Source organism: Homo sapiens, chromosome 4 (assembly GCF_000001405.40).
Source record: "Homo sapiens chromosome 4, GRCh38.p14 Primary Assembly".
In the NCBI taxonomy this organism is placed as follows: domain Eukaryota; kingdom Metazoa; phylum Chordata; class Mammalia; order Primates; family Hominidae; genus Homo; species Homo sapiens.
Window position 1 is genome coordinate 14,110,430 of NC_000004.12, and position 16,490 is coordinate 14,126,919.

The window sequence follows — 16,490 nt, forward strand, 5'->3', positions numbered from 1 at the left end:
TCCTACCCTTTCCTTCTGTCTTAAATTTGTAATGACATTTTAATTAAAAAGTTGATAAAAATTAAACATAGAAAATAAACCCAGGAACATTTAACATTTGTACATGGAGGCTGCATTTTTACTCAGATGGAACCTCCCAGCTTGAATGATTCATTTGTGGGAGTCATACACAAGAGTTGCTTGCAAGAGGATCTTATGAGTAAATGATAAGTGAAGTCATCCTTTTCAGAGAATAAGAAGAGTTATAACTGGGGTGGAGAAGCACTTGCCCTCATCTCAAGAAGGGCCCTATGCATGGCCACAGAAGTCTGAGGCCATAGCCCGTGATTTTGGCACTGATCATGCCCTCCCTGGGGGTAGCAGGAGCCATTAGTTCAATCCTAGCATTAACTTGACCATATTTGGATAAAACATCAGTATTGATCTTAAGTACTATTAGCGAGACCTGCCTATATTACCAGTAGCCAAGGCAGCAGAAGCAGAAACAGCTGGAAAAACTACAAATTGGGGCCATCAGGGGCAGATGTATCTTGGCACTCAGGGCTACAGAACATGTGGAAAGAGGCAGCAACAGCACCTCCTGTGATTTTTATGCAAAGATTGAGGAGGGACTCAGAGCTAGCATGTCAGTTTGTTACCCTTGTGATTTTCGTCCATGCTCTTGATTATTTTTTTTTTTTGAGGTTATATGTCCAGGAGACTCAAGAGTTATGGAAGAAAATAATGGAGCAAGAAAAGATGGAGCAGAAGAAAGGGAGAATGGCCCATTATTGGGAAAATTCTGTCTATAGAAAGAACACTGTGATTGGTTAAAACAAAAGCAGCAACAATAAAATTACCAAACGCCTCTGTGTTCTGGACAGTGTGCTGGACAGAAGGGACATAGAGACAGTGGGACAAAGTCATATAACTCTATTCATATCTTTATCTTAGCTCTTATATTATAATCATCTACTTACCTGTCTTTCTAAAAAGACTGAGCTCTTCTAAGGCAAGGATACTGTCTTTTGTATCTTTGTGTCTCCAATGTATACTGTATCCTTGCTGACTATGGAACTTGCTGTGCAAACTGAGACACTTGTGAGAATGAAATGGGTGCTATAAATGATTACTCCTGGGTGATAGGCACAAACCAGGACTTTCCCAGGCAAAAGGAAGAAGCGCTGTACAGAATATGTATTTTCAAAGATAAATGCACCTCGGGTCAATTCTTTGAACTCAAGGCAAATCTTGGAACAGCCTCTGAGCTAAGCAGCAATTGACAACGGAGAGCATTTTGACTCTTTAGTTTTGTGTCAGTTGGGGCATCTTACCATTGTGCATTATTGGGTTGTGACTGTGCAGAAACCCAATAAAAAAACAGGCATGTATGAGACTAGATGTTCTACAGTCATCCAAAGAATGACAAAACCGTTTCAAGAGGAACATGATAAGATCTGCTGGCAAGGATCTTTATTGGCATCCTGGGAACTTCTGGGGTGAATGTGTGTGCTGAGCTCAAATCAGAATATCTGCAGGAAAAAAAAAAAAAAAAAAGAAGAAGAAAAAGAAGAAGAAGCCAGACCAGGAAAGTGAAAGGAAATGGATATCGCTGCTGGAGGCAACGACTAATTTAAGCAGAGTAGGAGAAAAACTCTTTTTTTTTTTCCTTTGTGCCAGTTCCTTTTACACGACTTCAGAACATTCTATGACAACCCAGCGTGCAACTTGGCACTGTCAGAAGAGTCCTGGGAAAGAAAGGAAATGCGGTAAGAAATGGAAACAGAGTATTGTTGTTGAGAGCCTGGAGACCATTTGCAGAGTATTTTGCTCAGGGGGGAGTAAGAAAATAGGAAAAACCTTAAAAAAAAAAAAAGAGTAAACAGTAAATTTCTCCCTCATCTCCATCTCTTTTCACTGGAGGCAACAAGGAAAGGAATGAATTTTCATGTTTGTCTGGGATTCTTCCTATGTAGAAAACAAAAAAAGAACTCAGTCAGATAAAACAAAAACTTTTTCCAAGACTCATCGTGGAGGGGTGGCCTTAGTGTGAAATGATGATGCCCACTGATGGCAGAAAACCTCTTTTCTTTCTACCTCAGGTTTGGCCCAGTGCCCTTTGTCTAAGTCTCTTTTTTCTGTCAACAGAAATTGAGTCTGTAGCAACTATATGTAATGGTCTTCCCATGCCTTCAGTATTTCTTTTTTCATTTTCTTTCTTTCTTTTTTTTTTTTTAACTTGAAGTTCCGGGATACATATGCAGAACGTGGAGCTTTGTTACATAGGTATACGTGTGCCATGGTGGTTTGCTGCACCTACTGATCCATCCTCTAGGTTCCCTCCCCTCAACCCCCACCCCCAACAGGCCCCAGTGTGTGTTGTTTCTCTCCCTGTGTCCATGTGTTCTCATTGTTCAACTCCCATTGATGAGTGAGAACATGTGGCATTTGGTTTTCTGTTCCTGTGTTAGTTTGCTGAGGATGATGGCTTCCAGTTTCATCCATGTCCCTGCAAAGGACATGATCTCATTCCTTTTTATGGCTGCATAGTATTCTATGGTATATATGTGCCACATTTTCCTTATCCAGTCTATCATTAATGGGCATTTGGGTTGGTTCCCTGTCTTTGCTATTGTAAATAGCACTGCAATAAACATATGTGTGTATGTCTTTATAGTACAATGATTTATATTCAACATTTCAAACAGCACATTTGAAGTAGACATGGGAGAGTTTCCAAGAGACCACTCATTCATTGTAAAATAAATAAATAAATAAATAAAGGTGGTGGGGGGGCGGTTTGAGTGTCTTTTCTTTTCTGTAAAGGAATAGTAGCTCACTCTGATGCAGTGCTGGACACCCAACAGTATGCTCAGAGGGTTACAGTTTCTGCTCCCACAATGGTACTGTGGCTTGCACTGGCAGAGATTGAGGGTGATCATATCTTGTTCTCATGCCTTTTTTTCTTGGTTGCCTTCTCTTCTCTCTGCTTGGTTAAACATGTGAGCTTGTAGCCCTTCAAAGACTAGTACACATCAGTCTCTTCCCTTCCTCCCATGCTTCTTGCTGGGACTATGGTATGTATATCCTTGGCTTGCTAGGCAACTCTACTGTGTGTGTGTGTGTCTGTGTGTGTCTGTGTGTGTGTTATGTGGATGTTTTGTGCATACAAGCACGTGGTGCATATATGCACATGTGTGTCACATATATGCTACGAGTGTTGTCTAGTGTGTGGATGTATATGTGTATGCGGTATTTTACCTGTACTGGATGTGTTGTGTATGTAATGTGTGTCTGATGTACATATGATGCATTGTATACATGGTTAATGCATGTTGTGTGTATGCATGTAATATGCATGTGTTGTATATGTTTGTGTGTTGTGTGTGTTGCGTGTTCAATGTGTGTGATACATATGTTGTATATGTGTTTTGTGTGTATTGTGTGTATGTGCATCATCGGAAATGTTGAATTACTTTCTTATGTTCATCACTTTTGTTGGGCGTGCTCTAGCTTACCAATGTCTCTTTTCAGCTTTGGGCTGCTGGAACCACATTTCTTCAGATATCTCTGAGTAGTGCACAGACGGCAGGATTCCAGACTCACTATTCCTCTGCAAACAACCACTGGGTTTCTACAAGTTTATCAGCCATTTTGCATGCACAAATCTCTCCCTGGAGCCTTCATCCTCTCCCGGTTATCACTCACCAGTCTGTACTTTCTCATGGGGTTGTCAACTAATTCTCCTCTGCAGGCTCCTCACTTCCCTGTCATTCCTTAAACTGCAGTGATGCAGCCTTCCTCTGCCATCATGGCTCCACTGAAGATGGCCTCACTGTGATTAATGAAGAACTAACTGCCAAATTCACCGGACGCTTTTTAATCCTTATATTATAAAAATCAAACAATTGTAAGCATTGTCAAACTCTTCCTCCTACTTGAAATTCCTCTTGCTGAATTCTGCAGTGGCATACGGCAGTTTCTCAAATAATATTGTTTAATTCAACAATGTTTCATTATAATGTTTATGAAAAAAAATTTGATGCCCAGCTGGGGCCACTGTCTGTGTGGAGTTTGCAAGTCCTCCCCATGTCTGTGTCTGCCTGTGTTTTCTCTGAGTACTCCAGTTTCCTCCCACACATCAAAGCTGTGCACATTAGGTTTGTTGGTGTGTCTCAGTGGTCCTAGTCTGAATGAGTGTGGATGTGGGCATGAGTGTGTGCTGTGATGGGACAGCATCCTGGCCAGGGTCGGGTCCCACTTGGCTCCTGAGCTGCTAGGACAGGCTCCAGCCACCCAAGATCCTGCACTAGAATAAATAAGTAAATAATTATCTAACTTGTTTTTATTATTTTTTCTTAAACACATGCATATCTCACATTTATTTCAATGTTTAATATTAGAAGTGTTTGGAGTTTCCATTTAGAAGTATAATGATGTTTTTCTGACCAGAATATGGAGTACAAACTTAAGTCTTGTTAATATCAATTAGCCTATGGTAAAACTGGTTTTGTCACACTCACACATTGTTTTGTTTAGAGTTGCCATTTCCAAAAGCCTATTGACAATGTTAAGTGAGACCTTTCTTCACTGTCATACTCCCCCTGCTTCTCTAGCAGCTCCTCAATTTTCTCCATCTCATTCTCTTCTTTAGTCCATTTTTAAAATGTTAGTTCCAAGTATTCCATTGTGGTCTCCATATTTCAGTCTATACATTTTCCCTGACTGACCACATTTACACACTCAGTCTCATTTTCCTCCTCATGAATGACCCACAAGTGTCCAGGCTCAGCTAAGACCCCTTCCAGGTGCAGATCTGAGTTCTGCCTACCTGCGGGACAGCTCCCTCTGGGTATATCAGCAAGTAACCCCCCAGGATCTGCTCAGAGCCTGTGAGTCCTCCTTTGTCTGTCATTAGCATCACTAAGCCTGTGGTTACTCAGGCCAGAAACCCAAGACAGCTGCTTACCTTCTGGGCAGTGAGAATCCTATTTTCCTCAGAGGGTTGTTGTGGGACTAAAATGAGATAAGCAATACAAGTCAATTTAATACATTATCTAGCTTTTAGTAGGTATTAAGAATATGGTTTTTTTTTTCTTTTTCTCTCTTAAAACATTATCATGGAAGTTCATTGAGTCAGAGATTAGTTACAGATGGGAGTTTTCAGACATGACTTCAGTAAACAATCAAACAAAATTACAATGTTTAAATAACAAATCGGGAACAAGGACTGTCTCCATAGCACAAGAATTCACAAAGCGATTCTACAACACCTCCATTACTGATGCTCAGAAATCTGTGGTATTGGAGGACAGGAATTGTATTTTCTACATTGTAGGAAAGGAAACTGCTTCTGATGGATTCAGTGACTTCACCAAAGTCACCCAGCTGGCCAGTGGCAGAGCTGGGAGAGAAATAATCAGAAAGATCAGAATCCAGTTTAAAGAGTGTATTCACATGAAAAGCTGGGAATGGCCACCTGGAAAACACAGACATCAGAGAAGTGAGGTCAGTTCTTTGAAGTTAAAAGTTAAGATTTTGCCTATAAAGGAAGAAAACAAACAAAAAAATTTAACAGGATTACAACATTTTCTATACAAGGCTGGTTTATGAGTTATAACAATTTAATTAGTTACAGTTTTTCTTTTCTGTACAACTTTTCATTTCCTTTCCAATTTAAAAGAGTATATTTAACATTCCAGTAGACTAGACGTCCCCAAGACCTGGGCTACAGACCAGTGGTCCTGGACCACTTGGCAGGAGGTGAGAGTGGGTGGGCAAGCATTACCCCCTGAGCTCTGCCTCCTGTCAGATCAGCGGTAGCATTACATTCTCATAGGAGCACGAACCCTATTGTGAACTGTGCATGTGAGGGATCTATGATGCGTACTTCTTGTGGAACAGTTTCATCTCGAAACGATTCCTCCCACTCTACCCCTACCCATGAAAAAATTATCTTCCATGAAACTGGTCCCTGGTGTCAAAAAAGTTAGGACTACTAGATTAGATAATGTGACAGCTGTGGTCTTTGTGTGAGAGAGGTAAGAGGGAAGTTACTCTATAACAAAAATCAACAATAAGAGGGTAGGGGTCTTCCCTTCCCTGGTGCCCTTTAGTCATTAACATTTTATAAAACAATATAGGTGAAGGAGGAGGCTAATCCATAGTAACAGAAACAAAGTTTACAGCTGCCTATGTTACAGCTGCCTATGTTGCAGCTGCCTATCACCTGACTCAGGCCCTGTGATCTTATTCCTTTAAGGCTCAAAATAATTTAAAGTTCCAACAACTTAGAGTTGGAATTACTTATTTTCACCCCTCCCAAGTATGCGTTCCTTCTGTTTCCTGCGGCCTGCCAATAACAAGGTAGGTAGGTAGTGTCTCTCTACCAAGGTAGATATTGCCCAACTGGACAGACTGACAGGCGACCATCCATCTCTGAGTTCAGTAGAGGGGGCAGTGGCTGAATTAAGAGGGTCTAATCACCGTAAAAGTCCTTGGTGGGGTTGAAGCTTGTGATAGTTTTTAAGACAGGGACGTAGATTTGGGGAGAGAAGTGTTAGGGGCTTGCTAAGCCTGTGATGTGACACATTGAATGAGACAGATGAAGGAGTAGTTTCAGGAGTATAAATCTGCCAGACACATGATGCAGACTGTTTTGCCTGTCTATGAGCTATCATTTCTGAAAGAGTGAATACAATGCAGTGCCAGGTGCCAAGGCAATTCAAAAAAAAACTAACTAAGCTCACCATTTTATAGTCCGTGAAGTGGAATCATATATGTGATCTGATGTGAACCTTGCAACCACCCTTTGATATTTTAATTATTATTATTATTATTCCTCTTTTATAGGTCAGGAAAGTGCAAATCTCAGAGTAGAGAATTTGTAAAAGGTCATGTTCCAAGGTCAACTACCAGAGAGACAATAGACAAAAATCTAAGGCTATAGACCTAAAATCTCTTTAACTTGTTTACCATGCTACATCTGGGACTTAACCTTTGCTCTCTCATCTTGGGCAGACGCCTGAACTTAGGTCTGTCACAAATGCAGATACTAATAACCACTCTACCTACCCCATGCCATTGTTTGTGAAATCCAGATTGATGATATATGTGGAAGCGCTCTGTAGAATCCAATGTAATATTATAGACCTGGAGAGTATTGGTATTAATGAGTTCCCATTCCTGCTGCCTTTCTGCTCCATGACTTTCACCTTTATCTCATGGAGGGAGGTATCATTTTCTTTGCTGGCAATACAAGGCTGGTCAAATCAATGAGCCGAGCCTTCCCCAGCCATCAGGACAATGTGTGTTCCATTCCTGCACAGGAGGCTCTGGGCTGTTTGCAGTGCTGCCCTCGTATCATGGATGTCAGAATGTCAGTGTGAGATGCCAGATACCACAGGGTAATCTCCTCTTTCTGCAGAGGAGGGGACACAGGACTGCAGTGGTGAAGTGCAACATACCCAAGGTCACCCTGATGGTTAATGGAAAAGCCATTTCTAATAAACCATCTGTGATTTTCTTTTTGAGAAGTTTACCCTCTCTTTAGGCCCTTTCTATCCACATCACTGTATTCAAACGAAGAAAAAAAATAGGCCTTCTCAGCCCCCATGTTCTACTTTCTGCCACTTTCTGTGGTCTAGTTCCAGGAAGTGGGTGATGGGGAGGGAACACAAATTAATCCTATCACTTTTTGGCAGAGTGAGCTGGCTAAAAGGTGATTTTGTTTTTTTGGTATCAGCACTTTAGCAAATGTAATAGGCTTCTGATCATTTCTGTGAAAGAAGAAGACTAAAGGGAGGAAAAAGAAAAGAGGTGAACAACAAGGTGTTGATGCTTTAAAGGAATAGATGAAAGTGACAACAGCAATAATAACAATGTTAACTAACATTTGTTGAGTACTCAGTGTGTGCCTAGATGTGTGCTTACGACATTTTAATTAATCCTTGTGAAAACACTATGAAACAGTTATTATTGTTATATTTACAAAAAAAAAAAAAAGGCTGAGTCTACCTGAGGTTCAGTGACTTTGGATAGCATGACAAAATAGTAAAAGGATAGGTGAAATGTGAACCCTGACCATCCAGTGGCAGAGGTTTTATGCCAGGGCATTATGCTACATTAAAGGTAAGATAGTGAGAAGCATTCCTGTTGGGTTACCAGGATTTTCATATGACCAAGATATCCATGATGTCTGGGTAGTCTACCCCTAACAGGTAGTACACCCCTCCAGGGTACTACTAACAAGTACTACAGATACTATCTGTTAGGGATAAAGGTAGCATTATAGAGGATGATTCAGAGGCCTCAGTCATGTGCTCATTCATTCACTTTTTTTTTTTTTCATTCAACAGGCATTATCCTATTGGGTTAGACATTTTAAGCAAGTGAAATAGTGCTCCCACCTATACTTGACATTTGTTGTTCTTTGGCCTTTGCTGTGGCAGGCAGAATTCTAAGATAACCTCATTGACTCTCACCCTTTTCTTATTCACTTCCCTTAGAGTATGAGTAGAACCTGAAAATGTGATGAATGTGAGACTAGAGAGTGGACAGAGTTGATTCTGAGTATGCTTAAGATTCTTGATTGTGAAAAGATGGGAAGAGAAAGGGTGATCGCTGGGAATGGGGACATCAGATACATGATGTGTCGGAGATACCGAAGAGAAAGGGAATTTCATGAAACAAAATCCCATAAAAATAGCAGATGAGGTGGTTACCATGGGATGGGAGTAAAGAACAGATTACCCATGAACAGAAGTCTTACTGCCTTGTCTGTATTCTTTCTAATAAGTAGGAGTGAAATGAGGGAGAATCTCATTTGCCTAAAGAGAATGGGACATTGTAAGCTTTGTCATAAAATCTGAGGGTTTAATGTTGATGCACGTATTCATATACCTGCCACTCATTAGCCTCTACTATAACCTTAACTTGAGGGTATGTGCCTAGTAGACATTCAAACTCCTCAAAGTATTATAGTTTCTGGGTTTTTTTTTCTGGGCATCTTATAAAATTGCACTTCTCTCTTCCCTTGCAGTTAGGCATGGCTGTAGGAGTTGCTTTGCCCACCCAGTTAAATGCCAGGCTATCTCTTTTGGGAAAACACCTTAGAACCAGTTCTCAATCACTATGTTGTCTTCTCCTCTGCCACAACAATCTGCAGTGATTTCGAACAGCCCGGGCACTGAAGAGAGAAACAGTACAGTTTCCAGCTCATCCATAATGAGAATTTCATGACAGTAAGAAACACATATTTCTTGTTTTAACGTATTGGGGTTTGGGAACTTTTGATTGTTACTGCTGCATAATCTAGATCATCCTGACAAAAGCAACACACAAGGAAAAAACACTTGGCTCCCCATTGTTGAGATATTCCCTAAATGGATGAATGACACCATGCCATGTGCCGAGGACCATTAGAACAACAACCAAAAATGGCAACACAACAACAACAACAGCAGCAGCAAACACAATTATGTCTCCATGCGTAGCTCTCTGGGCTTCCATGGCAATTATAGTCACTGGGAGGGTTGGACTAGCTTTTCGAAGAATTCACTGCTCTCTAGAAGCAGGGACTCTCTATCAACATTTCCCATATCATTTCTCCACAGCTTGTCCTTAGGGTGAAAGAACAAGGGCTTTTATAACACATTCCATTGGCTGGGTTTATGATGCTCTGCCTCACTCCCTCTGCCCCGAAGTAAAGCTGAATTATAAAGTAGGGCTCGTCTTATCTTGGGCAGCCATGCAACAATGGTTTCTGGAGGTGAGTGTTGAAATATGTCTTGGGGCTTTGGGAAATGTTTTCAATTCAGCATTCTGTGATCCTTGTCCAAAGATCCTTGATAGCATCCTTTAGGCATCACTGAAACAATCAGCACACACACAAAAAAAAACAAAACAAAATCTTTGCATTCATATGCCTTAAACTAACAAGTAAAGAAGCAAATATCTAGAAAACATTTTGTAGACTAAGTAAAAATATGACTATAATTACATATATATAAAAATAATAATAATGTAGTCATGTACATTCATAGATAGTCATATATATTAGGGTTCAGAGTCTTTGAGAAGAATATTGCCTAGGTGTCAGAAGATCTGGGTTTTAGTCCAAGTTCATCATTAACCAGGAAACCTAAAACAAATGGCTTGGCTTTCTTTACATTCCCTATTTATATAATAAAAGCATTGACTATATAAACTAATTGTTCTCTGAAGGCTCTTAAAACTCTGACATTCTAGGATTTTATGTATTATTATGCCACAACCTCATCTAATCACAATAACAATAGCTAACATTTCAATTCCAACAACTATGGCGGATTGTTGGCAAAAATAGTGACAATTATTCCCTTCCCTTTGTCGTATGAGGTTGTAGTTCTATCAAGTGGTAGAGTCTAGGCTGGCCTTGTGGTTTTCTTTGACCAATAAAACACGGCAGAAATGGTGTTCTACCCGTTAGAAGCCTAGGTGTCAGGAGTCTTGCATGCTTCCACTTTTTCGTTTGGAACACTGCTGCTACCTTATGGACAAGTTCAAGGTAGGCTACTGAAAGATCTGAGACATGTGGCCCATTCAAACTCCATCACCCTAGCCAACAGTTATCCACTTCCTGACAATGTAAATGAGAACACCCTAGAGAAACCAGCCCTCAGCCCATCCACCAGCTGACCTCGGACTCATGAGCCAGTCCCGCTGAGATCTACCAATACTAGTTCAGATCAGCAGAGCCATCCAGGTGACCTGTAGACTCACACGCAAAAAGACATTGTTGTTTTAAGCCACTAAATTTTAGGTTGTTTGTTACATAGAGGTAGTAATAGATAATTTATATACTATGTCAAAAATTAACTCATTTGATCCTTAGCTGGAATTTTAACTCAGATTGTCCTGCTCTAGAGCCTCCATTTTTCCTATGATAAGCACAAACTAGTAAATAATTTCTGCTAATTATAAGAAATATCTGCCACCCATATACATCTGTCTGCCAACCCACACCTCCACGTTAAAGTGAAATAAAACACATATAAAATTGCACAGTTTACATTCACATTACACATCTTCATCCACATTGTCTTTGAGTTATGGATGCCAATGATAATTTCACTTGTTATCTCTAAAGACAGTCTTTACAAATCTCCCTTACTTTCATTTATTTCAAAAAGTTCTTGAGAAAGAGCAGCAGAAATAAACGCTTTCTCACCCAGAGAAGTTTTTTTCTAGAGATCTGGAATCTGAGGTCACCCTTTCAATGGAACACTCCTTCACTTACCCTCACCTCATTAAAGGTTGCTCTTCTTAAAGATGTTTCACAGACATTTCCACCAACTGCTGCTAAGGGCAGAGACAAGGGAAAAACTATTTCAGTGGGTGTTTCTGACCACAGCCCAAAGTGATCCCTTGTGTATGTTGCATTACATAACAGATTACCACTATAACAAACCTGTAATATCTCATCGTTTCCATGGGGCTGAAATCCAGGTACACCTTAACTGGGGTCACTGGATCTCTTACAATCAAAGGGTCAGCCAGGGTTGCAATCATCTCAAGACCGGAATACAGAAGAATATGCTTCCAAGTTCGTGTATCTACTCATTGGCAGGGTTCAGTCCTTGTGGATAGTCTGATTGAGGGCTTTAGTTCTTTGCTGGCTGTTTCTGACCAGGTGGTCTTCTCAGTAGGGCAGCTGAGAACATGAAAACTGGCTTCATCGGTGGGATTAAATGAGAGGAAAGAGAGAGAGTGTGTGAGAGTTTCTAGTTTTTCCTAACCCAAACTTGCAAATTTATTTCTATTACTTTTGCTGTATTCTATTCTTTTTTTTTTTTAATATATACATTCAAGGGGTGTAAGTGCAATTTGGTACATTGATATATTTCATTGTGGTGAAGTCAAGGCTTGCACTGGAGCAACACACATTGAACTCACCAACTGATCTCCCATCATGACCCCCCTCCCACCCCAGCACCCCTCTGGGTTTTTATTGTCCATCATTCTACTCTTTGTTTCCATGTTTACACATTCTTTAGCTCCCACTTATAAGCAAGAATATTTGGTATTTTTCTTTCTGTGTCAGAGTTGTTTCACTTAAGATAATAGCCTTCAGTTCCATGCATGTCACTGTAAAAGACATTCTTTTTTATGAATGAATACTATTTCACTGTGTATATATACCTCATTTAATCTAATCTTTCATTGATGGATACTTAAGTTGATTCTGTATCTTTGTTGTTGTGAATTGTGCTGTGATAAATATACCAGTACAGGTATCTTTTTGCTATGATTTTTTTCCCCTTTGGGTGGATGCTCAGTAGTAGAATTGCTAGATTCTATGGTAGTTCTATTTTTAGTTGTTTGAAAAATAGCCATGCTGTTTTCCATAGAGGTTGTACTAATTTGCATTCCCACCAGCAGTGTATAAGAGCTCCTTTTTCCCTAAATTTTTGCCAAATCTGTTATTTTGTAATTGCTCACACTCCCCTCATGGCTTTTCCCAGGCCCTCATCTTGCTGTCCTGATTTATGATAACAAGCTCCAAACAAGTCCTCTGACTCCAAGTTCTTCATTTCTATACATTCTCTTCCCTTCAGCTTCTATAGGGTTTTGAAAGCAGATCTTATTTTCCTGCTAAAAACACACCAGTCCTCACATTTTCTTCAAATATATATCCAATTCCTTAGGTAGACCAAGTAGGGTCTTCATGTCAGGACCCTGGCTTAGCCTGCAATTTCATCTCATCCCTCTCTTTGTCATGGGTCCTACTCTTCATCCCAACAACACTCCTTAGATATTCCCTAAAAGGCAGAGTTGTTTGTGCCTCCATGCCAATATCTATATTGTGTCCTCAGCTTTGAATCACCTTTCCTTGAGCCTCTTCTCTCTCTTACTCATTCTTCAAGATTTATTTTAAGCATCTCTAGCATTGGAAGCCTTTTATGTGTCCCTCCTCTCCCAGTCTGCACTTCCTACGAAAGCTCTAAGACATTCACTTCAGCTATTATCATTCCTCCTCTTTACATTTTCAATATCACACCCAGGCACCAATAACTACAAGAGTCACAACAAAAGCCACACAGCAATGAGCTTTTTTTCACATCATTTACTAAGCTCTTCTGACACATCGAACACTGTGCTATGTATAGTGCATGTTATCCTCTTTCTTTTGCAGTAACTTTAAGAGATCAGTGTGTATAAGCTTTAGGAGTAAAGTTATCTCAGAGAAGTTAAGATACACATGGTCAAAAATAGATCTCGGATGCCAGTCTAGGTCTGTCTCGTGTTCTCTTACTATACTTCTCAGATTTATATTATTGAGGCAAATTATCAGGTAAAACTGAATCAGCATGACCTTTAGGGCATTGTTTCTGCAGTATTCTTGTGAATACCCTTGTGATTGATCAAATTTGTGCAACATTTGCTAAAAAACAGCAACCTTTGCTTTTCCTAATTGAATTTGAGAATTAATTTGAAATGACTCCAGGAGGGTGGCTACTAGCAGCATGGTATAGGTATCACACAGAACTGTTCTCTTGTTTGACTCCATAAGTTCTCTTCATTGCTTTTGAAACCCTCAATGATCTAGTCCCTGCGTCTGGATTTTGGGTGTCAGATGTTCACAACAGTGCTTTTTAACCATTAGCATGAACCTGTAGTGCCTGATAAATACAGATTACCGAACCCCACCCCCAGAGCTTCTAATTCAGTGTTCCGAGGTGGGCTCTGAGAATTTGCATGTCTAACATGTTCCCAGGTGATGTGGATGCTGCTGGTTTAGGGACCATGGATCATCTATTGAAAACAATAAGTTTACAAAAATTGTCTGGGAATGCTAGGGGAAGGGAGCCAATGGTCACACTCCACAGAATGCTTAGGCTGGTTACTGTTCCGCCCACTTAGAGAAGGTAACAAGCACTCTGCATTCCCTCATGACAGCCAGCCTGCTTTCCTAGCAACTGAGAGTGAGTTTTTATGGTCATTTTCAGATAATTCGATTCACTGTTTCACATTATTATTAAATAAATCTGGATATATTTCTTCTTAAATGAGATAATAAGTATCTTTATTGTTTAACCTGTTTACTTAGGACATTTATTATTTGCAGTCTAATGCATCTCAAGTGATATGGCCCTTTTATATGAGCTTCTAAAAAGCACCATCTCACCCTCCAAGCCCCACTCCCTAGAGGTGTGATTATACCTTTCTTTTTTCCTTCTATACACTGAAAGAGGGTCTCCTTCTATCTATGAGTTTTAGTTCAATTTCTTCCAGCCTTGATGTTCTTATTTCATCATTAAATCATTTTAACACCTGTTCCATCAGCCTTCCCCTCTTTATCTTGCCCTCTTTGGCATATAAACATGCTCAAGTTTTCTACTCTTAACATGAAATGCTGAGGATGCTATTCTTTACCAATTCAACTTCAAGACTAAAGACACATTTTGGCAAAGAGATTCTTTACAGCCCAGGTATTGTTGACGTTTCTGAAAAGAGGTGCAGTTATTGTGGAGAGCCCTAGTGAAGCTCTGCAATGGGATTTCAGACACAGCAATATTGACCTCTGTCCCCTGGAAAGAAACTGAAGAAGTGTCAGAGTCGCTAATGTTGGGGAAAGAGAAAGAAACATGCTATTGTTTACATGAGCTGTAGTTTGTAGCTGTACACAGACCATACTTTAAGATATTGCCAGGGACTTCAAGAAGAGGAAGAGAGAGGTCTATGCATGTTCAATTCCCACTGTAGAATTTATTCAAGAAAGTCTCACTTGTTTAAATCAGAAATGTTTTTTGTTTTAAAAGCAAATATATGAACAGGTAAACACGCTTCTTTAGAGTTTGATTGAGGCCAGGCATTGCTTGTGCATTTTACAAGCATTGAATGATAAGGTACTTCCTGAAGGAAATGCAATGGAATGTGAATTAAAATTCAGTTGCCTTGATCCAATGAGTCATGTCAATCATAATTCCCATCTCTCTCCCCCTTTCAGAAAGATTTGACAATGTAGTGTCTCCAGTTTTGATGTCCAATTTCCAATTTGCTGCAATACATTCTCAATCCACAAAGGCAGCACTGACAGCCTTGGGACAATTCAGAAATTACTTCTTAATTGTGAAATTCAGTAGACTTACATCAGTTCCTCATTTCACCTAATTTATCTATTTCATTTGATACTATTGACTCATCTCTTCTAGAGAAAACATTATTTCCCCTTTTCTGTTCCTCTTCTCCTTTGGCCTTGAAACTGTTCTCCTTCTGTCTGTTTCCAGTCTTTTCAGGCTGTTTCTTACCATTTCCTATTTATTAAATGTTTGTATTTCACTTGACCTTGTCCCTGGTCTTTTATTACTCTTTCTGAACTTCCTGGGCAATCTTGCCCACTCTGTGGCTTTCACTCCACCAATAAGCTACCTCCCAGTCCTGGATACTCTCTAGGGCAATAATTTACCCAATGAGGCATTTTGAAAATTTGGGGAGATGGTTTTTTATTATGATGATGAATGACAGAAGGGGCCCACTGGTGTTTGGAGGGCAGGGCTTAGGTAGGCTAAACGTCCTGTAATACATTGTATAGTCCCTCCCACAAAATAGATAATTATCCTGTGCCCCACATGATTTTGAATGGCCAACCTGACACTCATGTAAGTAAAAAACCTGATTATAATTGCATGGGCCTAGAACATATGTCTAGTTTTTATAAAATGCTAAAGTATTTTTTTTTGCTTATTTTTATTATATGCTTGAATTCCAGAAATGCAATGTATGTACAAATCAATAAGCAATTGTTGTTTTAGTTTTTCAGAACTTTACTAGGGGTAGTTGATCCAAATGGCATTATTGGATGTGGTGGTTTCCGGACACCCACCTGTGACACTGCGGTGACCGGTCTCCTGTCTGGCCTGAAGTGGATCTGGACCCCACACAGTCCCCATGTACAGCTGATACCAGGCTGAAGTGGATCAGGAGGCTGAGGAACTAAGCCAGTGTCAGGTGGTGCACCAGGCTGCCCAAGTAAGAGGCCCTACACATGCAGGTAGGAAGGCTGTACATGGCCTTTCTTCCCTTCTGATGAGCTTGGGCGAAATATGTGGATATATAACAGATATAGATCGCATAGATGTGATCAGTGGGGCTGACAGTTCATGAGATCTGACCACCTCAGGCAGCACCAAAGGATTCATCAGCAGATGCCAAGATCTTCAGATCCATAGGCTGATAATGAAGAGATGGATGGTCCTCCTTCTCCTTGTCTTTAGGTCAATCTCTTCTCATTTTGGCTTCTCTACCTTCTCTTTGGTAGGTGGAGGCTTAGATGAACACAGGATGATTATGGAGCAATACTTGAAGCCCAAATGAAGCTCTGAACCCGGAGACTTCTCAAAACCTGTCATCAATGCTCTAACTCTTCTGTGGCCACCTCCTTCTACTGGAGTTTAGCCAGGTGGGAAGGTAGGGCACAGTAGAGATTGGGAGCTTCATTAAAAAGCTCTTTATCTCATGTGCCTCTCAAG

The 16,490-nt window shown here is 40.2% G+C and overlaps 1 long non-coding RNA gene and 1 pseudogene across 1 annotated transcript in view; both read left to right on the forward strand.

Annotated features, from left to right (window-relative positions):
* Positions 1 to 1,538: 1,538 nt before the first annotated feature.
* LINC01085 (long intergenic non-protein coding RNA 1085) overlaps positions 1,539 to 16,490 on the forward strand; it is a 28,085-nt gene continuing 13,133 nt past the window's right edge. The window contains exon 1 of the long non-coding RNA NR_033931.1: positions 1,539 to 1,748. This is a non-coding gene — a long non-coding RNA (long intergenic non-protein coding RNA 1085). The remainder of the gene's footprint in view (positions 1,749 to 16,490) is intronic.
* Positions 15,910 to 16,235, forward strand: KLF17P2 (Kruppel like factor 17 pseudogene 2; annotated as a pseudogene).